The sequence below is a fragment of the Homo sapiens genome, chromosome 7 (assembly GCF_000001405.40).
Source record: "Homo sapiens chromosome 7, GRCh38.p14 Primary Assembly".
Lineage (NCBI taxonomy): Eukaryota > Metazoa > Chordata > Mammalia > Primates > Hominidae > Homo > Homo sapiens.
In genome coordinates this window covers 102089480-102112357 of record NC_000007.14, presented here as the reverse complement: position 1 = coordinate 102112357, position 22878 = coordinate 102089480, and the positions used below count along the sequence as shown (strand labels likewise).

General features: G+C 46.2%; 1 protein-coding gene across 25 annotated transcripts in view, besides 6 other annotated features; it reads right to left on the bottom strand.

Moving 5' to 3' along the window:
• Nucleotides 1–22878, bottom strand: part of CUX1 (cut like homeobox 1) — a 467952-nt gene that overhangs the window by 171601 nt on the left and 273473 nt on the right. For 24 of the 25 annotated variants that reach the window (NM_001913.5, NM_181500.4, NM_001202544.3 and 21 more), the window contains 3 exons: nt 14857–14994; nt 7899–8022; nt 584–660 (listed from right to left, as the gene is read on the bottom strand). In NM_001913.5, the coding sequence (NP_001904.2) occupies nt 584–660; nt 7899–8022; nt 14857–14994 (339 nt within the window). The remainder of the gene's footprint in view (nt 1–583; nt 661–7898; nt 8023–14856; nt 14995–22878) is intronic. The other variant, NM_001202545.3, reaches the window with a different exon arrangement.
• Nucleotides 8760–9435: an enhancer, noted in NCBI's record as "H3K27ac-H3K4me1 hESC enhancer chr7:101746203-101746878 (GRCh37/hg19 assembly coordinates)". NCBI's record gives its function as "activates a minimal SCP1, AML or CMV promoter by ChIP-STARR-seq in primed H9 embryonic stem cells {active_cell/tissue: H9 hESC(primed)}" and the evidence as "EXISTENCE:reporter gene assay evidence [ECO:0000049][PMID:30033119]".
• Nucleotides 9436–10112: an enhancer, noted in NCBI's record as "H3K27ac-H3K4me1 hESC enhancer chr7:101745526-101746202 (GRCh37/hg19 assembly coordinates)". NCBI's record gives its function as "activates a minimal SCP1, AML or CMV promoter by ChIP-STARR-seq in primed H9 embryonic stem cells {active_cell/tissue: H9 hESC(primed)}" and the evidence as "EXISTENCE:reporter gene assay evidence [ECO:0000049][PMID:30033119]".
• Nucleotides 10380–10879: an enhancer, noted in NCBI's record as "H3K4me1 hESC enhancer chr7:101744759-101745258 (GRCh37/hg19 assembly coordinates)". NCBI's record gives its function as "activates a minimal SCP1, AML or CMV promoter by ChIP-STARR-seq in primed H9 embryonic stem cells {active_cell/tissue: H9 hESC(primed)}" and the evidence as "EXISTENCE:reporter gene assay evidence [ECO:0000049][PMID:30033119]".
• Nucleotides 10880–11381: an enhancer, noted in NCBI's record as "H3K4me1 hESC enhancer chr7:101744257-101744758 (GRCh37/hg19 assembly coordinates)". NCBI's record gives its function as "activates a minimal SCP1, AML or CMV promoter by ChIP-STARR-seq in primed H9 embryonic stem cells {active_cell/tissue: H9 hESC(primed)}" and the evidence as "EXISTENCE:reporter gene assay evidence [ECO:0000049][PMID:30033119]".
• Nucleotides 14081–15280: an enhancer, noted in NCBI's record as "P300/CBP strongly-dependent group 1 enhancer chr7:101740358-101741557 (GRCh37/hg19 assembly coordinates)". NCBI's record gives its function as "activates an origin of replication core promoter dependent on BRD2, BRD4, P300/CBP, MED14 and CDK7 cofactors, with strong dependence on P300/CBP, by STARR-seq in HCT116 cells {active_cell/tissue: HCT116}" and the evidence as "EXISTENCE:reporter gene assay evidence [ECO:0000049][PMID:35650434]".
• Nucleotides 16160–16671: an enhancer, noted in NCBI's record as "H3K27ac-H3K4me1 hESC enhancer chr7:101738967-101739478 (GRCh37/hg19 assembly coordinates)". NCBI's record gives its function as "activates a minimal SCP1, AML or CMV promoter by ChIP-STARR-seq in naive H9 embryonic stem cells {active_cell/tissue: H9 hESC(naive)}" and the evidence as "EXISTENCE:reporter gene assay evidence [ECO:0000049][PMID:30033119]".

Here is a 22878-nt window from a genome sequence, read left to right as displayed (position 1 = left end):
AGGCAGGAGAATGGCATTAACCCAGGAGGCGGAGCTTGCAGTGAGTCAAGATCGTGCCACTGCACTCCAGCCTGGGTGACAGAGCGAGACTCCGTCTCAAAAAAAAAAAAAAAAAGAGAGAGAGAAAGAAGTTTAAAGATACTGTAAAAACTTGAGCATAACCTTTTTTGGTGGCTTTTAAATTTTAAAGGTCTGAAATTACTGTTCTCCTTAACTTCACTTAGGGTAGAAGTGAGTTTTTTTTTTTTTTTCTATTATTGTTCCAAATGAAATGTCAGTCCTTGACAGTTTGGTGATTTAGAAGTGTTTGTTGGAAAAAGAGCAGGAAGCAAGGATGGCGTGTGGAAGGGATGAAAATGGAATCGAGATCCTCCCACCTCTACATTAACAACTCAAAGTCAGTGAGGAATGAGGCGCAGCAGCTGGCGGGCGTGCTGCGGAATTCTTCAGCGTGGGCTCCCGGCAGCTCCCACGGCCCCGAAGAGCAACAGGTATCCGCGGGGACCGGGGCGGTCAGGGGCTGACCCAACTCTCCCCCTGGGTCCTCCCCACATCCATGGTACTAGGAAGGAGAGTATCAAACCTGTTTGTAGGCTCTGAACCTTATGCTCAGCTTCCTCCAGCTTTGAGGTGGTGGACATCTGTGTCTCCTGCAGCTTTCTGCAAAGGAAGAGGACGAAGCCAAATTGGTCATCTCCTTTACCAACTGAAATGCACGTGTGCCTTTCGGCTGAGCTCAGCTCCCTCCCTGCGCTCAGCTGGCGGCAGGCGCACCACGGGGTATCGCCCGCAACGACACGTGTGCCGTGGGCCCCGCTCCCGCAGCTTCCACACCCCAACTTTGTAACTGCGTGTCACATCACGGCAAGTGTGCAACCCGTGGGGCTTGATGGGTGGTAACTGGCGTAGAAGGTTATCCTAAATGTAATTTGTTCTTGAAATGCCAGATTTTAAAAAGAAAAAAAAAAATCATCATCATGCACTCATTGTTTTCTGAAGTTAGCGCAAGAAGAATGATCCATTTACATTCTGCTGACACAATGAAGGAGTTTGTTGGAATAAAGGATGCACTAAATAGATGTGGCAGCTGTTCCGTCTCTGTTATAATGGAATGCAAACGCAACTGCAATACCTAATGGGGACATTGTGAATGCTCGCAACTGCATTCCACAGATTCAGATTTCCCAGGATCTCTAAGTGAATTCCCTGGTCAATAAATAGCATTCCTTCCTCTTAATCTGGGGGAAAAAAAAAAACCCCTCCAAAAATAAGTTGATTATTTTTATATCATATGAATTTAACATATGCTCTCATAATAATAAACTGGGATACAGAAAAGTAGAAATGACACAGTTTACAAAGTCAACCCAATTCTCATCACCTCTAGAAAAGCACTGTTAATATTTTCATGTATTTCAATTATGGACACTCAGGGATGTAATCAAATATGACAAGAGCATGGGAAGTGAAAGAGTCTTACTATTCCTTGGCTCATTTCCGCTCCTCAGATGGAGTTCATTTGTATTTTTCTAAAATGTTTCTGCATGTACAGAAATACGACATCATATGTAACAGTCTAAAGTGTAATATAAACAAATATGTAACATACTATAGCAAAATATGAATATGTAACATATGATATGTAACAGCCTATAGTGTAATATAAGCAAACACATAACACACTATAGCATAATAGAAATTAATGCATAACAAATGATAGTGTACTATGAACTAATATGTAATAAGCTATAGCATAATATGAACTAATACGTAACACACTATAGTGTAACATAAACTACTATGTAACACGTTATAGGGTAATATGAACTAATACATAACACACTACAGCGTAATATGAACGAATGCGTAACACACTAGAGCGTAACATGAACTAACACGTAACAAGCTATAGTGTAATACAAACTAATATGTAACATGCTATAGCATAATATGAATTAATATGTAACATTATAGTGGAATGTGAACTAATGTAATATACTACGGCTTAATATGAACTAATATGTAACATGCTATAACATAATGTGAATATGTAACACACTATAGCACAATATAAATTAATATGTCACATAGTATAGCAAAATATGAATGAAATATACTATAGCATAGTACGAACTAATATGCAGGATACTATAGTGTAATAATGAAGTAATGTAATATACTATAGTGTAATATGAATATGAAATAGGCTACTGAAATAGAAGTGTTTAATATAGTATAGTATAATATAATCTCCCTGCCCTGTTCTTTTAATACAAAGGTGATCACAACGTGCACCACATTCTGGGGTCCCTTATTCACTTTTCTCTGTATTTTGGAAATGTTCTATTCCAGCAAACATAGTTCTCCCTCATTCTTATTAAATAATTAACTTAAGCCTCTGTGGACACTCAGATTGTTTCTAGGTTTCTTTCTACTGAACAGTCCCTCAACGATCATTGTGGAGATACTGCTGTATAATTTTGAGAGTGAATCTGTTGGAGATGAAATGCTAACAGAGGAATTACAATGGCCAAAGAGTATCTGCAATTTTTTCTTTTTTCTTTTTTTTTTTTTGGAGACAGGGTCTTGTTCTGTCACCCAGGCTGGAGAGCAATGGCATGATCTCGGCTGACTGCAACATCTGCTCCAGGGTTCGAGCAATTCTCATACCTTAGCCTCCCAAGAAGCTGGAATTACAGGTGTGCACCACCAAGTCTGGCTGTTTTTTGTATTTTTAGTAGAGATGGGGTTTCACCATGTTGGCCAGGCTGGTCTCGAACTCCTGGCCTCAAGTGATCCGCCTGCCTTAGCCTCCCAAAGTGCTGAAATTGCAGGCATGAGCCACCTCGCCTGGCCACTTTTCTTGTTTTGATAGATAGTGAAAAACTTCCCAACAAAAAACTTTCACCAATTTAAACTCCCACCAACAATATGTAAGTGTGTTTTCGTATACTCTGCCAACACAAGATAAAATCAAATTTAAATTTTTACTGCTGAGTAAAGCTATGTTATTTCTCTTTGTATGACATGCCTACTTATCTCCTTTGCCTATTTTTGTAGAGCGGATTTTGTTCTTATTAATTTAGAAGTCCTCTTTGTATATAAAGAAAATTAGCCTTTTGTCTTACATGGTACAAATATTTCTTCAGTTTGTTGATGTTTTTAAAATGTTATTATTTGTTTTTGAGAATCTGTTTTAAGTTTTATATAGTCATATTAATAAAAACAAATATGCACCCCAGTTTTCTTCCAGTATGTTTGTGACAAAAAATTATAATATTTAAATCCTAGATCCATCAACAATTTTTTGTTATAAAGAATGACGCCTGTAATCCCAGCAGTTTGGGAAGCTAAGGTGGGCAGGTCACTTGTGGTCAGGAGTTCAAGACCAGCATGGCCAACATGGTGAAATCCTGTTCTACTAAAAATATAAAAATTAGCTGGGTGTGATGTTGGGCACCTGTAACCCCAGCTATTTGGGAGGCTGAAGCAGGAGAATTGCTTGAACCCAGGAGGTGGAGGTTGCAGTGAGCTGAGATCGTGTCACTGCACTGCAGCCTAGGTGACAGAGAGACTTTGTCTCAAAACACACACACACACACACACACACACACACACACAAAATGAATGAAGTAAATTCTAGCTTCAGCCCTTCCCTCTAAGAATCAGTTATTGTATATTTTAATATAGCTAATCCCTTTACCTAATTTGAAAAGTCAAGAGCTGGGCACAGTGACTTATGTCTGTAATCCTAGCACATCAGGAGGTGAGGCGGGCAGATAACCTGAAGTCAGGAGTTTGAAACCAGCCTGAGCAACATGGAGAAAACCTATCTCTACTGAAAAATTAGCCAGGCTTGGTGGCACACACCTGTAATCCCAGCTACTCAGGAGGCTGAAGCAGGAGAATCACTTCAACCTGGAGCGGAGGGTTGCAGTGAGCTGAGATTGTGAGACTGCATTCCAGCCTGGGTGACAGAGCAAGACTCTGTCTCAAAAAACAAGAAAAGTCAACTTAATAATATTTAATTCCCATATGTGTTTATTTCCACATTGTGGTAATGCATGAGTTTGCTGTAGGAAGATGTACAATCATACTGCACTGTAAATAATTTTGTACGGTGCATGTTTTGACTTCATATTATATTAGGTACGTTTCTCATGTTACTATGAATTCTCCATAACTATTATTAATATTTTAACGGTGACATAACATCCCAGTTAGGGATGGTCCGTTCTTTTTACTAACCCATTTCTCCATGGCAGGGCACTGAGATTGCTCGCGTTTTCCCCCTTGATCACTCACTGGTGAGGAGTGCTTTCCTAAAAGGCATTTACTTAGGACCAAATCCGTATCAACGGGGTCAAGGGTCTGCCCATCTGTCCGAGCCTTGACTCTGTGATGCGCACTCCTTTCCTGGAGTCTGTGCCCTGCCGCGCTCCCCCAGGGACGATGGATGCGGCCTCCACCTGCAGAGTTGGGCGTGGCCCCAAGGGACTGGCCTTGGTCCGGCAACCAGGGCTCCAGGTGGCCACAATGGAGCAGACGGGGAGGCAAGGGCTGCAGAGATGGGCAGGTGCCAGTCTGGAGTTGCAAAGTCCCACCTCTGGCCCTGATTAGCCGCAAAAGCTGTAGGAGGTACCTCACCCACGACCTGCTTTCTCCCTCTATGAAAAGAGATGGTCTACATTGCAGATCCATTCTGGGCAATTAGTGAGAGAATGTACTGAAAGCCTACGGCCAAGTTCTGATGCAGGGAGGGCCCCGGGTGGGCGGGAGCTGGCAGTTCTCTTTTCTTTTATTTATTTTTTATTTGGAGACAGAGTTTTGCTCTTGTTGCCCAGGCTAGAATGCAATGGTGTGATCTCGGCTTACTGCAAACCTTTGCTTCCTGGGTTCAAGCAATTCTCCTGCCTCAGCCTCCCGAGTAGCTGGGATTACAGGCATGTGCCACCACGCCTGGCTTATTTTGTATTTTTTCAGTAGAGATGGGGTTTCACCATCTTGGTCAGGCTGGTCTTGAACTCCTGACCTCAAGTGATCCACCCACCTCACCCTCCCAAAGTGCTGGGATTACAGGTGTGAGCCACTGCGCCCAGCCTCTTTTCTTTTCTTTTCTTTTTTGAGACAAGGTCTTGCTCTGTTACCCATGTTGGATTGCAGTGGCCTGATCATAGCTCACTGCAGCCTGGAACTCCTGACCTCAAGTAATCCTCCTGCCTCAGCCTCCCAAGTAGCTGAGACTATAGGCACATGCTGACATGCATGGCGCATTCATACATTCATTCATGCCATAGAGATGGCATATCTCTATATTGCCCAGGCTGGTCTCGAACTCCTGAGTTCAAGGGATCCTCCTGCCTCAGCCTCTCAAAGTGCTGGGATTACAGATGTGAGCCACTGTGCCCAGCCAGTTTTCTTTTTGAATGAAGTCAGCTTAATGGCATTCCTCAGAGGCCTTCATGATGCTGCAGGGCAGGCGAGCCCCAAAGGAGGGCTTAGCTGGCAAGGGCTCTGGGCTTCAGCCAGGAGGGAATTCAAAGGCGAGCTGGTGGTAGGGCTGAAGAAGGCAGCTTTATGGAGGTGGCAGCGTTACAGCTCTGTGACTGGTCTCGTGAGGTAGGACTGCCCCATAGGCCGTGTGCTGCCAGTAGCAGCTGAGGACAGTTTTGTACTCATATTTTGTACTCATAATCTGTACTCAGATTAAGAGGCAGTTTATACAGAAATTTCTAGGGAATGGGTAGTACCTTTTGGGCTGTGAGATCATTGCTGTGGAAAGGGGTGGTAACTCCTGGGTGTTGCCAAGGCAATGGTAAACTGATGTGGCACACTGGTGGGCATGTTTTATAGAAAGCTGCTTCTCTCCAGGCCCTGTTTTAGCTAGTCTTCAATTTGGTCCAGTGTCTAAGCCCCACCTCCTAACCCAATGATATTGTTACAGAGCCCACCTTAGAAAAATTCACCAAGAGCCGGGTGCGGTGGCTCACGCCTGTAATCCCAGCACTTTGGGAGGCCGAGGCGGGCAGATCACAAGGTCAAGAGATCGAGACCATCCTGGCCGACATAGTGAAACCCCGTCTCTACTAAAAATGCAAAAATTAGCTGGGCGTGGTGGCGTGCACACCTGTAGTCCCAGCTTCTCAGGAGGCTGAGGCAGGAGAATCACTTGAACCTGGGAGGCGGAGGTTGCAGTGAGCCAAGATTGCGACACTGCACTCAAGCCTGGGTGACAGAGTGAGACTCCATCTCAAAAAAAAAAAAAAAAAAAAAAAAAAGAAAAAAGAAAAGTTCACCAAGTATTCAGCATAGGAAGTCAACTGAAAATAAAACAACAAAATCCCACACCAGCCACAGTCCCACTTGGCCCCTTACCTGTAGTCATAAATTTAGTGCTTCCTGTTGATGGATACATACATTTCTTCATACTAGAGTTAAAATTCAGTATCTTTTTTTTCCCTTTTTTGCTTTTCTTTTACTTGATGGGAGCGGGTATAAAACTTAATACCTTAATTTAACCCATGAGTTTAAAAAAATCCAATCTAGGCCAGCCGTGGTGGCTCACACCTGTAATCTCAGCACTTTGAAAGGCTGAGGTGGGTGGATCACCTGAGGTCAGGAGTTCAAGACCAGCCTGGCCAACATGGTGAAACCCCAACTCTACTAAAAATACAAAAGTCAGCCAGGCGTGGTGGCGCATGCCTGTAATCCCAGCTTCTTGGGAGGCTGAGGCAGGAGAATCACTTGAACCCAGGAGGCGGAGGTTGCAGTGAGCCGAGATTGCGCCATTGCACTCCAGCCTGGGCAATGAGAGTGAAACTCTGTCTTAAAAAAAAAAAAAAAAAAAAAAAAAGATCTATATGGTTGGGATCCGTAAGCTCAATAGTCCTTATTGTTGTTACAAGGAATCTAACTTTCATTAACTCATCACACTAGGGGAAAACCAACTCATTATTTGTGGGAAACGTTTTTGGTAATGTAAGTCATTAGAAATCTAAAACTCACATCAGTTACATAGGGCATTAACATATTTTACTGATACTAACTCCCTGATATGTGAGGTAATGAAAGAGGCAATACCAAAAAACCCACTGAGATTGTGTGTGTGCGCGTGTGTGTAATATTAAATACATCAGAGAGTCTGTGTGTGTGTGTGTGTGTGTGTGTGTGTGTGTGTGTGTAATATTAAATATCAATTTGCTTGAGAAGGCAGAAAGAGTTTAGCACTAGCCCAGGGCTTGTCCCCAGAGGACACACACTGGGAAATGGGCTTTCCTCTCTGGTCTCAGCCCAGGTCCAGCTGCCAGGTGCCGCCTTGCTAACGACTCATGCCTTGAGCTTCACCTCTGCACCTGCACGGCTTGGATAGTCTTGGGCCCACTGGCTGCCTGACACCATCCACCGATTGGGAAAGACAGATGCATTTCGCTCAAGGAAACCTCACAAATGTAGAATATCTTTTTTTGGAGATGGAGTCTCACTCTGTTGCCCAGGCTGGAGTGCAGTGGCGCGATCTCGGCTCACTGCAACCTCTGCCTCCCGGGTTCAAGTGAGTCTCCTGCCTCAGCCTAAGTAGCTGGGATTACAGACGTGCGCCACCATGCCTGGCTAATTTTTTTTTGTATTTTTTAGTAGAGACGGGGTTTCACCATGTTGGTCATGCTGGTCTCGAACTCCTGACCTCATGATCCACCCACCTCGGCCTCCCAAAGTGCTGAGATTACAGGCGTGAGCCACCACACCCAGCCAGAATATCATTTTTGAAACATTTTACCCCTTATAGATTTGGGGTTACAACCTGGGCTTATTTTGCAGATCCATTTATCAACATGTCTGATGATGTGAAGTTCAGGGGCAAATGCTATGTCAGTCTGTGTGTGCCTGGAAGTCATGCTCACCTCTCCTTTTCTGCAAAGTCATTCTGTAACTTCTGTTCCTTCTCAAGAGCTATGGTTTCGGCTTGGTTCTTCAGTGTCTGTTCATATTCTCGGATTTTCTCTTTAAGTGCTTTTATCGTAACCTCTGCAGAAAAGAAAAAAAAAAACCTACAGTAAGAGAAGCATACAATTCCATATGGCTGTAGGTACAAGGCTCTCATAACCTGGTAGGATCGGTGTGTTTTAAACCTTAGCTCTTCAACTCTGACACAAAATCAATGGTTATGAGTCCCTTCAGAGACCTTTTACTCCCTAAATGTTAAATTGAACTTTAAACGTTTAGGCTGAGGAGGATCAATGGATTTTGCTGAAAAGAAGAGCTTTGGTTTCTGTAGTACCAGTTAAAGAAAAAAAAGGGTGGGGGGAGATGGAAATCAATGGTAAAATATCATATCATCTTATTGATGAGTCTTAAATTAGTCCTGTAACTGAGGGATGATTAATAAAGTTTTAGGTGGGTTTAAGTACTTTCTCAGAAAAAAAATAGTTCATAATAGTGTGTGCATTTTGGAAGAAGCAATCGAAGTGGAGTCAAGAAAGTCTACGGTACCCCATTCTCTATGATGTGATGTTTCACATTGCATGCCTGTATCAAAACGTCTCATGTAGCCTATAAATATAGACACCTACTATGTACCCACACAAATTACAAATAAATTAAAAAAAAAAAAAGATGAAAGTCTACAGGCCAAGCACAGTGGCTCACATCTGTAATCCCAGAACTTTAGGAGGCCAACGTGAGAGGATCCCTTGAGCCCAGCAGTTTGACACCAACCCCAGAAACACAGCGAGCCCCGCCTCTACAAAAAGGGCAAGAATTAGCTGGACGTGGTAGCACACACCTGCAGTCCCAGCTTAGGGACTTGGGAGGCTGAGGTGGAAGGATGTCTTGAACCCAGGAGTTTGAAGCTGCAGTGAGCTATGATTGCGCCACTGTACTCCAACCTGGGTGACAGAGTGTGAGTGAGTGAGTGAGTGAGTGAGTGAGAGAGAGAGAGAGAGAAACGGAGAGCAAAAGAAAGAGAGGGAGACAGAAAAGGAAGGAAGGAAGCAAGCAAGCAGGCCTGGCCCTGCAGCTCTGCTGGTTCACAAGTGACAAGAAACATGTGGTGCTAGGTGGATAAAGCATGGAGGGAGTGGGCTGGAAGGGACCCACCCTGGAGTGCCCACCACTCTGGTGGTCATGGGCTGTGTGCAGAGCAGAGGGTGCCGTAGCCTGGGGGAAGATGCTCCGGTGACTGGCATGTGGCCTGGAGGAGTCCTAGAGTGAGGTGTGAGCACCAAGGATGTGGGGCAGCGAGGGGCCCCTTGGGAGGCAGGGCTGTCTTGGGAAAGCGCAGGTCCAGACGGCTCTGGTACCACCAACTGCAGGTTCACAGACATCACCTCAACTGCCCAAATGGGGAATATCAAAGCGGATTTGATGAATGGAACAGACCTGTGGGTGGCTCTGGGGCAGGACAACTACACCTGCGCCCTCCTCCAGATACGCCTATGCCACTCCGCATGCTGGATGCTTTGTGTGTGGGTGGCTCTGGGGCAGGACAACTCCACGTGCGCCCTCCTCCAGATACGCCTATGCCACTCCGCATGCTGGATGCTTTGTGGAAAAGCACTGTGGCCCCAGCCCCCAAGAGAGGGGAGCTCTTAGGAATTGTCGCCCGCTGCTACAGATCTACCTCTTAGCAGGCGAGGCTCATTTTCTTTGTGTTCCCAGTGCTGGCAAACAGACGTGTGCTCAGGAAAGCACTGTGGCATGAATGACTGAAGGAGCCGAGGCCGGGCAGAGCTGGGGGAAGCCCAGACAGGGCTTGTGGCAATGGAGCTCCCTCTGGTGCAGCAAGGGCACCTGCCAGGTGTGTAACTCACATCCATTCCTGCTCCCTGAGCTGCACGGACATGCGCTGGCCAGAGCAGGAGCAAAACACCTGGGCGATTAACACCCACGCGGCTTAGTGCATACAAGCTAAAGGCTTTTTTTTTTTTTTTTTTTTTTTGAGGCGGAGTCTCGCTCAGTGGCCCAGACTGACATGCAGTGGTGCAGTCTTGGCTCACTGTAACCTCTGCTTCCTGGGTTCAAGCAATTCTCCTGCCTCAGCCTCCCGAGTAGCTGAGATTACAGGCGCGCACCACACCTGGCTAATTTTTGTGTGAAAGGCTCTTTTGTTAAGAGGTTGGCCTTTTTCATGAGGTGTGTCCCAGAGTGCTTTCCGTAGAGAGGTGGAATTCCACCAACGATCCCATCAGGGCACAGCAGAGGGGACTGGGCAACTTTCCGCCTTTTGGTTTGGCTGTTCAGGTCCTGGAAGAAATGCTCTGTGCACACAGTGGTTGGTGATACGTCTCTCTCAAGCCATACGGACGAGGCCAAAGTGAGGCAAGAGCTGGACACTTCCAGAATGGACTCCAGACAGGTCAGCTCTGAAAAAGCCTGAACTGCTCTGCTACGTCAATGGTCTACACTCTCGTGTAAACATACAGCATTTTTGTCTTTTTTTTTTTTTTTATTGAGACAGATACTCGCTCTGTCACCCAGGCTGGAGTGCAGTGGCGCAATCTCGGCCCACTGCAACCTCTGCCTCCCAGGTTCACACAATTCTCGTGCCTCAGTCTCCCGAAGAGCTGGGATTACAGGCGTGTGCCATCACACCTGGCTAATTCTTGTATTTTTTAAGTAGAGACGGGGTTTCACCATGTTGGCGAGGCTGGTCTCGAACTCCTGACCTCAAATGATCTGCTCACCTCGGCCTCCTAAAGTGCTGGGATTACAGGCATGAGCCACCATGCCTGGCCTCATTTTTGCCTTTAAGGACCGGCTGGAAGTGGCTGTACAGCACTTGGACGCTAACGCTTGCTCCAGTGGGGCTCCTCAGTGACACATCACAGTGTGTGACCTCGACAGTGTGCTGTGCCTGATGAGGTCTCTTTGCCACCCCCTGGACCCGGGTGAGTGCTCACGGACCAGCCCAACCTCAGCCAGAGGCCACTTTATCCTAGCGCCTCTGGCCTTCTGGCCCAGGCTGTATCCCGGGCAGATGCTGGGTGTCTCAGCAGGCCTCCCAGGCATGTGTAGGGGAGGACGGGGCCAGCATAACAGAGAGGAATCTAAAGGGCTTGGCATTACCTGGGGCCTCCATTTACTCATCATTGCGGGATGGGTGGGGCTGTGGCCCATGAGGCAGAAGTTCCCTCTTTGCTCTAACTTTTATTATGTACCTGATATAGTTTAGATGTTTGTCTCCTCCAAATCTCAGGTTGAAATCTGATCTCCAGTGTTGGAAGTGGGGCCAAGTGGGAGGTGTCTGGGTCATGGGGGCGAATCCCTCATGAATGGCTTGGTGGCCTCTCTCTGGTGATGAGTCACTGAGATTTGGTTAAGACGTCTGGGATGCCCCCTCCTCTCTTGTCCTGTGGCATGCCTGATCCTCTTTCACCTTCTGCCATGAGTAAAAGCTTCCTGAGGACCCTCAGAAGCTGGGCAGAGGCTGGCATCGTGCTCATACAGCCTGCAGAACCATGAGGCAAATAAACCTCTTTTCTTCATCAATTACCCAGACTAAGGTATTTCTTTACAGCAACACACAATGGACTCACACCATCTTTTTTTTTTTCTTTTTTTAAGAGATAGGTCTTGTTATGTTGTCCAGGCTGGTCTCGAACTCCTGGCCTCAAGAGATCCTCCCGACTTGGTCTCCCAAAGTGCTAGGATTATAGGCATGAGCCATTGTGCTGGCCCCTGCTCTAACTTTTTAATCATTTACACTACTGGTGTGATAATTACAAGAAGTGATGTGCACCGCCCACCTTCCCAAATTATAATCACTTTTATTCTTGGAAGTGGGGGAGAGGAAATGACATTTTTCTGGAGCTTGGGAAAACTTGTTATCCAAATAAAGGAGGGTAAATTTCTTTCAAAAACCACACTGCTGAATAAGTAGCAGGTACTATTGAGTGCCAAATGCTGTGTGTATATGCATATTTAAGCTCACACCAACCCTACCTGGTAAGTATCAGAATTGCCTCCCAAGAGAAAGAGGCTTTTAGCAAAGTGAGATAATTTGCCCAAGGTCACATAGCTAGGTGGTAGCAATAAAAGGACTCAAACCAGGTCTGTCTGTCTGCCTCCAGAGCCATTCTTTTTTAGAGATGGAGTCTCGCTCTGTTGCCCAGACTGGAGTACAGTGGTGTGATCTTAGCTCACTGCAACCTCCACCTCCCAGGTTCAAGTCATTCTTCCACCTCAGTCTTCTGAGTAGCTGGGATTACAGGCGTGCCCAACCATGCCTGTAATTTTTGTATTTTTAGTACAGATGGGGTTTCGTCATGTTGGCCAGGCTGGTCTCGAACTCATGACCTCAAGTGATCTGCCCACCTTGGCCTCCTTAAGTGCTGGGATTATAGGCGTGAGTCGCTGCACCTGGCCTGGAGCTGTTCTTAAATCTTGGGCTCTATAACTCATTGTGAAAAGCCACTCCTGAGTGTGGATGAGATCTTTGGGGAGAGAACATCCACACCCAGCTTGGCTCCTGGTCAGCCCCTGTGCAAAGCCCTGGCCACTGGGAAGCTGGTAATTTAGGCACCAGTGATAGAAGGAGAAGGGAAGGACAATCCTGCACAGCCCACCAGGCCCCACCTGCACCACCCTCCAACAAAACAAAAGCAAACTCAAAAAAATAAAATAAGCCAGAAAGAGGCTGGGCACGGTGGTACACATGCCTGTAGTCCCAGCTACTCAGGAGGCTGAGGCGGGAGGACTACTTGAGTCCAGGAGGTCAAGGTTGTTGCAGTGAGCTATGATCATGCAACTGCACTCCAGCCTGGGTGACAGGGCGAGACCCTGAATCTAAAATAAATAAATAAATAAAAAACACTCACCAAACAAACCAGAGAGTGGATCTATCAAAATTAGATACCAGAGGACAATGAAGGGGAAAAAAAAAAAAAACCAGGATACTCCCCTTTAGGGTAGCGTATCTATGAAAACTCAATGTGCAGATTTGCAGGTTACCTTTTACTGCAATACTGGCGTGATTCTGGCAAGAAATGCTTCCTACAAGGGAAGGTAATACCTTCCCTCACAGCAGTTCCAGCCCTAGTAAGCCCAATGCCTCGCTCTCTAGCAGGACAGAGTTGTCCCTTCTAGTCCTAAAGGCTCACCACTCTCTGCAAAGCCAGAAAGAAGCGGGGTCTGGCTTCCCCAGCTGCCTGTCACCTCGTGCCCCCAAATTTCAGCAAGGAAGCTATGCTGGCCTGAGGGCTTGAGTACCCCCATGCCCACACTACAGGGAGGTGTGCTCGGAGGTCTTAGGCACCGCCGCCCTCACAGCCCATGCCTCTACCTCTGGCTCTTCACACATCATCACAGATGCTTTCTGGATCATTCCCATGGACAATTCTTCTTCCCTGGTCTATCTGCAGTGTTTTTAAAGCCAAAGGACACTTTTAGAAAGTCTTTGCCAATTGGCTGGGTGCGGTGGCTCACGCCTGTAATCCCAGCACTTTGGGAGGCTGAGGGGGGTGGATCATGAGGTCAGGAGATCGAGACCATCCTGGCTAACACGGTGAAATCCCGTCTCTACTTAAAAAAAAAAAAAAAAAAAAAAAAAAAAAAAATTAGTTGGGCGTGGTGGCGGGCTCCTGTAGTCCCAGCTATTCGGGAGGCTGAGGCAGGAGAATGGCGTGAACCCGGGAGGCAGAGCTTGCAGTGAGCCGAGATCGTGCACTGCACTCCAGCCTGGGCGACAGAGCGAGACTCCATCTCAAAAAAAAAAAAAAGAAGTCTTTGCCAATTAACTTTTTCTGTTGTTGTTAAAGACTGGATCTTGCTCTGTCACTCAGACTGAGTGCAGTGTCACAATCATGGCTCACTGCAGGCTTGACCTCCTGGGTTCAAGCGATCCTCCCGCCTCAGCCTCTTGAGTGGCTGGGACCACGGGTGTGCACCACCATGCCCAGCTAATTTCTGATGTTCTGTAGAGACAGAGTATTGCTACGTTTCCGAGGCTGGTCTCGAACTTCTGGCCTCAAGCAGTCCTCCCACCTTGGCCTCTCAAAGCGCTGGGATTACAGGTGTGAACCACCGCACGTGGCCCCAATTAACTCTTTATTGAAGTCTCTACAAATGGTCAATGGAAGGCCACTAGGAATGGGCAGCCTCCCCTTTCAATTTAATTCCGTACTCACATTCCCAAACCAAAACAAACTGGCCGAATTATTCTTTGGAGCTGGCTGAAAAGCCTGCTGCTGCTGCTGTCAGACGGGAGCTGTGATTTTCCTTCAAGCCAAGGAAGCCAACAGGCTCCTGGATCCTGAGTGCCTCTGGATTTTAGGTAAAGGAGAGATTCCTTTGTTCTTCCCTGACGGGAAAAGCCAGGCAACCTTTGCCCTCTCTGTCTTGTTGACGGCTGGGCAAACACACCAAGAGGTTGTTTTCTTTCATTAAATTCCTAATGAATAGGCGATACTGACAAGGCAACAGCGGGGCTTAAGCATGCAGCCTTTAAGATGTGTCTGAAGCCTTAATGTATCCACAGCAATTATTAAATGACTTACTGTGTGTGACCCTTTGATCATGAGCTGGCTCTCTGACAGGTGTCGCCTGGAGGCAATGCATGGGCCTTTCAAGAGGCAGACCCAATCACGTAATGATACGGGAAGAATTTTCAAAGAATCCTGATCGGTCTCATCAGAGGGCAATAAAATCTTACGTCGTTGTTGTGCAGAGGAAAAGTTTTACTTCGAAATAGCTCAGCATGATTATCATCTCTCTTTAACGACTCAGATTCCTGCCCCACCCTGACTTTATGACGTGTATATTACAAGGAGAGCTGGTCTCAAAAGTATGGGAAAAGCCAATTAAAATAAAAAGAAGAGAAAAAAAAGAAGAAAAGAAAAAGCAAAGAACGCATTTTCCACCAACCTTGATTTTTCACTTCAGCAAATTCCTTGTTGTATTCTTCCAGAGTTTCCCTAAGTTTCTGGTTCTCTGTTTCAATATCGTGCAGGCGCTGCACTTTGAGCTGGAGTTGCTGTCCGAGATCCAAAGCTGGTACGGGATCTGCACAACAGGAAAACAGCCATCACCCCACTCGGCCAGCAAACAGGCCCCCTCCACGGCGGTACACAGGCTCAGAGTGGGGCTCCTGGGACATCAGCTCCGGGGGCTCCCCAGAGGCCACAGTCATGCCCCTGCAGCCAGCCCCCTTGCTGGGTGGGAGAATTCTCCAGTGCTTTACAAAGGATGGACCCAGCCCGGGGTCCTCGAGGTGTGAAAATGGGGTGGCAATAGCCATGAGATTCACTGGTATTTGCCGATTACTCCTGCCTGGTGTGACACTTTCATGATTTTCATTCTTTGATCAGATAAGTAGAGAAATACACCAGGTAGCAGCCCCAGGAGGTCAATCACATCCCCGGAGCTGCACGTGGAGGACGGACAAGTCCGTGGACAGGTGCCGGGATGTTTAAGGGTCCAGTGATTATGAGGCTGGAAGTGACACCTGATGCCTGAGAACGCCACACAGTTCACGGGACACTTTATGGAGATTGTGTCTTTTGAGCCTTACAACAATCTCGAGAAAGAGGCCTCAGAAACTAAAGCCCAGGGAAGCAGAATGACTCACCTGAGGTCACCCAGCTAGTTGGTTGGCATGGAGAATGCACACCTAAGTCTGTTAACTCCAAGTGATCATGCTTTTTTGTTTGTTTGTTTGTTTAAGACAGGGTCTCACTCTGTCGCCCAGGCTGGAGTGCAGTGGCATGATCATGGCTCACTGCAGCCTCCACCTCCTGGGCTCAAGCAATCCTCCCACCTCAGCCTCCCAAGTAGCTGGGACTACAGGCATGCACAAGCACGCTGGGCTAATTTTTGTATTTTTTGGTAAAGATAGGGTCTTCCTATGTTGCCTAGGCCAGTCTCAAACTGGACTCAAGGGATCTGACCGCCTCAGCCTCCCAAAGGATTACAGGCGTGAGCCACCCCACCCAGCCCTGAGTGACCATTCTTTACAACAAGGTAAAGAATGAAGCAGAGGTGAAGCAGAGGAAAGAAACACTTAGGCTTTATAAAGCCACCCCATTTCATGACATGACCACTTTCCATTACGATCCTCCTTCACTAATGAAGGGTGTTCAGAAGAGTCAGGGGTTAGCGGCCGCAGGTCCCAAGGCTGGAGACCCCTGCAGAGGCACAGCTGGTGACCCGGCATGGCCCTGTCGTAGACCAGCTGGCCAGGAGGCCACCACACTCCTGATGATAACTAAGTGCAGAGCAGCGCGCGCTGCACGGCAGCCAGGCCAGCGCTGGGGTCTTGCAGCCAATTCAAGGTCATATCTGCCATCAGATTCACTTCCAGAAAACTGGATTTTAATCCAAAGTCAGAAGTCACAGACCTGGAATTTACAGTACAAACTCACGGCTCTCGCCTTTACTGTGAATTCAACACAGGATAGAGAGACCTTAAATGTTCTTCCGCATCAATGTGATCTTTAGTTTTCTTTCTGCTGCCTAAGAGGCAATTATATTCCGCCTGCTGGGTACCTGGGGCATACTTCCTTTGGAATTCTCAGGCTCCGTCAGAGTGGAAGAATACCCAAGTCCACAGGGCTTAGAAAGATTATTGAATATATTTCTGGTATGGGCGCCAGTGTCACTTGTGAGATGGCTGCAGAGATTTAGTCTCCAGTCGAAGAATGCCAAACACCATGCCCAGCGGATCAACAAGAGTATATATTCAAGAGCTCACTTAATTTTCAAATGCCAGAGTCATTAATTTTTCAGACCACCCTAGGTTCCTGGAATCGAGGGCCAGGTCTACCATGCCTCGGTTAACGTATCCAGCAGGAGCCAGGGACTCTTTAGGATGCCAGCGTCTTTGCAGAGTTTACAAAAGGCAGGCGCTGGGATATGTTGGGCTCAACGTCAGCAGATCCCGGGTGCTGGGGTTTCACAGCAACACAGTCCATCATGCAGAATCCCTGGCTGCTGGGCACTTACTCTGCACGTATACACAGCCTATAATTGCATCTCTTTCTGGTGCATGGCTTTTCATTATTATTTTAATCAGCATCAAAATATTTATGTTAAATTTGACTCCAAAAGCTATTTTGGAGGCCGGCTGCAGTGGCTCATGCCTGTAATCCCAGCACTTTGGGAGGCCGAGGGTGGCCGGATTGCTTGAGCTCAGGAGTTCGAGACCAGCCTGGGCAACATGGTGAAAGCCTGTCTCTACAAAACAAAAACACAAACCAAAAAACTAGCCAGGCATGGTGGCATACCCCTGTAGTCCCAGCTACTGGGGGGCTTAAGGCATGAGAAGTCCTTGAGCCCTTGAGGTCGAGGTTGCATTGAGCTGTGATTGAGCCACTGCACTCCAGCCGGGGCAACAGAGCGAAATCCTGTCTTGGAAAAAAAAAAAAATGCTATCTTGGGGAGATGGTTCTTTGTAAGCAGGAGTCGTGATAACACAAAAAAACAGAATTCCTGAAAAGATTCCAGGTGCTGTTTGTAAAAAAAATTTCCATAACTTCTCTGGATACCTTCACCTTCTCAGCCTGCCCCTCTTCCCCACCTTCACGACCTTGTGCTGGGCAAATGGTTTCAAGAAAGTGAACAGCCCGTTCACAGCCTCCTTTGTACAGAACCACGATTTAAACTTGACATAGAGGTCAGGGAAGAGGAGGTAAAGAGAGGAACCTTTGATCACGTATAAAATTCTATTAAGAGTTGCTCACGTAGGCTTTCTAGCACAAGTGCCAGCAAATTATATCTTTAAAGAACACACCTAGTATACTGCCTGCCCTCCCTAAAAGTTCTGTCAACATTTCCAGTTCATTCTTTTCAAAAGGCCAGGACCCCACTGTATCTGCTTCGAATTAAAAAATAGCTTCTCCCATGCGGTTAAGCAAGGAATCCGGTGACATATGAAAATGACACGCACATTATCAAGTGAGGAGGAACCAGACCTTTACACCAATTTTCAGAGCCTTATACTGTAAATGAAAATTCAGGCAATCTCATAATCATTCATCATGGCATGTATATTTAGTCTGACACTATTAAAGGTTAATGCCTATGTAGCAAAGCTGGTCACAGACTAAAGGATGAGCTAAATGTTCAAACATCTCTGTGCATTAAACTCCAAACTTTACTACAGCACAGTTGAATGGCTAAATGCCTACAGCATTTGAATATTGTTTTGGGATATGTAAGAGGCATTGCTAAAGAACTTCTTAGGCTTAATTTTTATTACTTGTATTAAAGGAACAGCTAATTACTGCATGACAATATAATGACTCTAGCATGTTTGGGCTAAAGACCAAAACAATGAATTTTGGCGTGCCAAAACCCAACCTGTGTGTTAATCTACGGAAATAATAGCTTTTTGTCTTGTTAATGATTTCCAATGCCATTTAAACCCCACACAAGGATTGTCAGGTCTTATGCGAACGTCAGATGCCTCCGATCTTAGCAGCTCAATTAGGGAATTGTCTGGAGGAGGCGAAGAGGACACACCCATATATAAAACAGGAACACACAAAATCCGGTAACCCCTGTCTTCCCAGCCTCCTCCTCCTCCGATTCAACACGCTTTCCTGCCAGCTCCGCCCACCCAATGCGACAATCTTGTAAAGTGTTTTACAATCATCTGATACTTAATTCCTAAAGCAATCTTGGAGGTATTATATAGCTTGTTATGCAACACAGGGCTCAAGGAACATAATTATTACAAACAACAATACTGTACATATTCAGCACCTTTTCCTAAGTGCACGCAATATTATCTCGTTAATTCCAGCCATTACAGTCAGAGGCTGGCGGAGCCCGCTCTGCAATGTATGGGGTGGATGCATCTCACCCAGGGAGGGAAAGAAAAAGGAAAGAAGCCCGCCAGGCAAACGACTTTGAAAAATTCTCAGTATGATTTCTGCTTACTGGCCAGGCACAGTGGCTCACACCTGTAATCTCAGCACTTTGGGAGGCCGAGGAGGGAACATTGTTTGAGCCCAGGAGTTTGAGGCCAGCCTGGACAACATAAGTGAGACCCTGTCTCTGGAAAAAATACAAAAATTAGCCGGGCATGGTGGTGCATGCCTGTAGTCCCAGCTCCTTGGGAGGCTAAGGTAGGAGGATTGCTTGAGCCTGGGAGGTGGAGGTTGCAGAGAGCTATGACTTTCTTTTTTTTTTTTTTTTTTTAAAGAGATAGGGTCTCACTCCAGCCTGAGGGACAGAGTGAGACCCTGTCTCAGAAAAAAAAAAAAAAAAGCTTCTGTTTTCTTAACCAGCAGCCAAAGAAAATCTCTTTCAGTACTAATTTAACAAATATTTCCTAAGCAACGGAACCAACTAGCTGCTCTGGGAAAGGCTCAGCCTCATAGCAGAGATAAGCCATGCATGTAAATGACAAACGCAAGGCAGGAGACCAGATGAGTGGAAGAGCGCTCCTGGAGAAACCGGGAAAAGGAGCTCTTTTTTTCTTTTCTTTCTTTCTTTTTTTTTTTTTTTTTTTTGAGACGGAGTCTCACTGTGTCACCCAGACGGGAGTGCAGTGGCGCTATCTTGGCTCACTACATCCTCTGCCTCCCGTGTTCAAGCAATTCTCCTGCCTCAGCCTCCCAAGTATCTGAGATTGCAGGCGCACACGACCATGCCAGGATAATTTTGTATTTTTAGTATAGATAGGGATTCACACCCCATTGCCCAGGCTGGTCTTCAACCCCCGGCCTCAAGCAATCTGCTCACCTTGGCCTCCCCAAGCGCTGGGATTACAGGCATGAGCCACCACACCCGGCCTAAATGCATTTTTGACTCATGATATTTTCAACTTATGATGTTTGGTAGGTTAGGGGTATTGAATATATTTTTGACTTATGATATTTTCCACTTGTGATGGGTTGACTGGGGCACAGCCCCACTGTGAGTGAGGAGCGTTTGCGCTGCTGAGCATGGAGAGGAGAGGCACAGGGAGTGAGGGAAATGGGTCCTAGAGACAAGGGGACAGGGAAGGCCTCTGAAGAAGTGAGTGGGGATGAAGATCTGGATGGTAATGCCAGGCAGCGCAAGGATTCACCCCAGTCAGAGGCAGCGCCCAGTGAAAGGTCCCGTGGTAGCTGTGAACAGGGCATGGTCAAGGCATAGTGAGAAGCCAGTGTGGTCCCAGGGAAGGAGAGGCAGAACAGGAAGGGAAAAGAGATCTGGGAGAGGGAGCCTGTGCACAAGGATTTTAAGAAAAATAGGAGTGCAAGGAGGAGAGAAAAAGAAGATATAAAAAGAAGCAAACTAAATGCTAGAGCTGAAAGTACAATGTCTGAAATGAGCCAATGGTCAGATTTTGGATGCAATTCTTTTCCTGTCAAGAAGTGGCCAGAGATGGACGGCATGGCGCACGCCTGTAATCCCAGCACTTTGGGAGGCCAAGGCAGGTGGATCACCTGAGGTCAGGAGTTTGAGACCAGCCTGGCCAATACGGTGAAACTCTGTCCCCAGGAAAAATACAAAAATTAGCTGGGTGTAGTGGCACGTACCTGTAGTCCCAGCTATTTGGGAGGCTGAGGCAGGAGAATTGCTTGAGCCTGGGAGGTGGAGGTTGCAGTGAGCCGAGGTCACACCACTACACTCCAGCCTGGGTGATAGAGCAAGACTCCATTTCAAACCAAACCAAACCAAACCAAAACTGTAGTACTTCAACCCACACAATGGTTTGTTGGTTTTCTCTTGGCAAAAGCATGTAAGAGTTTTAAGCTTAAAGATGAGCTATATAATTTTCTTTAGAAAAGCTAAGTGATCCTGGCCGGGTGGGGTGGTGCGTGCCTGTAATCCCAGTGCTTTGGGAGGCTGAGGTGGGAGGATCACTTGAGGCCAGCAGTTCAAGACCAGCTGGGGCAGCATAGCAAGACCTCGTCTCAGCAAATAAAAGATAAAAAATTAGCTGGGCATGGTGGGAACACACCTGTAGTCCCAGTTACTAGGGAGGCTGAGGTGGGAGGATTGCTTGAGGCCAGGAGTTAGAGGCTGCAGTGAACTATGATCATGCCACTGTACTCCAGCCTCAGCAACAGAGCGAGACCCTGTCCTCAAAACAGAGAGAAAAAAAGAAAAGAAAAAAAAAGCAAGCTAAGGGATCCAAATTACCTGCCCTGTTTTGTGATGGTAAATGGCTATCATATCAGTAACATGCCGCTTGACAGATACTTTTGAAAAAATAAACACATACTCTAAGTTGTTGCAATAAATGTGGTGCTTTAATGCTTGTTGAGGAAAATAACTATTTTATGCTACAGTGACAGCATTCTAAAAGTGAATATTTGGAAATGTTTCCATCATCTATATACTGATGGGCAAAGACAGCACCTTTTACAAAAATGGTTCAATGCCTTATATCACACAAGAGGGAGTGTAGTGTAATGGTCTGCAGTATGAGCCAGGCTGCATGTGTTCAAGTCTCAGCTCTCTCATTTATTGGTTGTGCAATCTTGGACAAGTTACTTAACCCCTCTGTGCCTTAGTTTCTTCATGCATAAATTGGGCATACTAACTGTGCATATGTCATGGTGCTGCCGTGAGGATTAACTTAAGAAAATTGCCATACACAGAGTTAACACTCAATAAATGTTATCTACTATTATTTACCAACTCAAATCTGAGTAAACATTTGCCAAAAGAAGTTTCAAATCGTTTGTTAATTAATATAAGAAATGCAGGATCTTCTGAAAAGCTAGGAAAAAAAAAAAAAAAGAGGCGGGGTGCGGTGGCTCACGCCTGTAATCCCAGCACTTTGGGAGGCTGAGGTGGTGGATCATGAGGTCAGGAGATCGAGACCGTCCTGGCTAACACAGTGAAACCTTGTTTCTACTGAAAATACAGAAATATTAGCTGGGCGTGGTGGCGGGCTCCTGTAGTCCCAGCTACTCGGGAGGCTGAGGCAGGAGAATGGCATGAACCTGGGAGGTGGAGCTTGCAGTGAGCTGAGATTGCGCCACTGCACTCCAGCCTGGGTGACAGAGCGAGACTCCATCTCAAAAAAAACAAAACAAAACAAAAAAACAAAAAAAAAAACGGTATCATGGAAAATGAAAATTGACTAGCTGAGTTTCAACAAATACCTTCTCATAATTAGTACAAGCTGAATATCCCTAATTCAAAAATCCCAAATCCAAAACACTCTGATTCCAAGCATTTTGGATAAAAGACACTCAACCTATACCTAGATTTCATAAATATGAATCCTATTTTTGTAAAGATAGCCAATAATGTGTTTCTTTGGTTTGAATCTATTTATCTTTGTAAGTTATTTTTTCCAGCCATTTCCATGAAAACCAAAAATCAAAATTAACAGAACTTGGAGTCTCTGCTTCTGGCCATGACAGATCTACTGATACTCAACTTGTGCTCTGGTCATAAACAACTAGAAAACTAGGCAAAGTCAATGAAACAACTATTTACAGACGCTGGACAACTGGTGGAACAAGACTTCCCTGAAGGAAGGGAAGCAAATGAGATGAGCTCTATGTTACCCTTCCTGGCAGGAAGAACTCTCTGGATTGCATCACAATGAAGAAAAAAACCCAAGCGGAGTGTGATGGTCTCCCTGTCCATTGAAGGACACACATCACAAGATTGGGTGGCTGCAGCAATTGGAATTTGCAAGGCAGAGTGTGAAAAGGAGGGACAAGAGCTACAGAAATCTGCAGAGAGGCGATCTTTTGCCAAGAGCTAAAGTGCCTATGCACAGGGTGAAACTCCTAAGGCCAGGCAAGAATAGAAAGGAAAGTCTGAGCTGAAAACCTCCCACAGTTTGAGGGCTGGAGGACTTTCCAACTGCAACCAGCCAGAGAGGACACACTTGTTGAAGAGCAAGGACTTGTTGAAGAGTAAAGACACTGGAAGTGTCCCACCTGAGTGGAGGGCTAAACTCATCTTCAAGGCTTGCCCATATCCACTCCA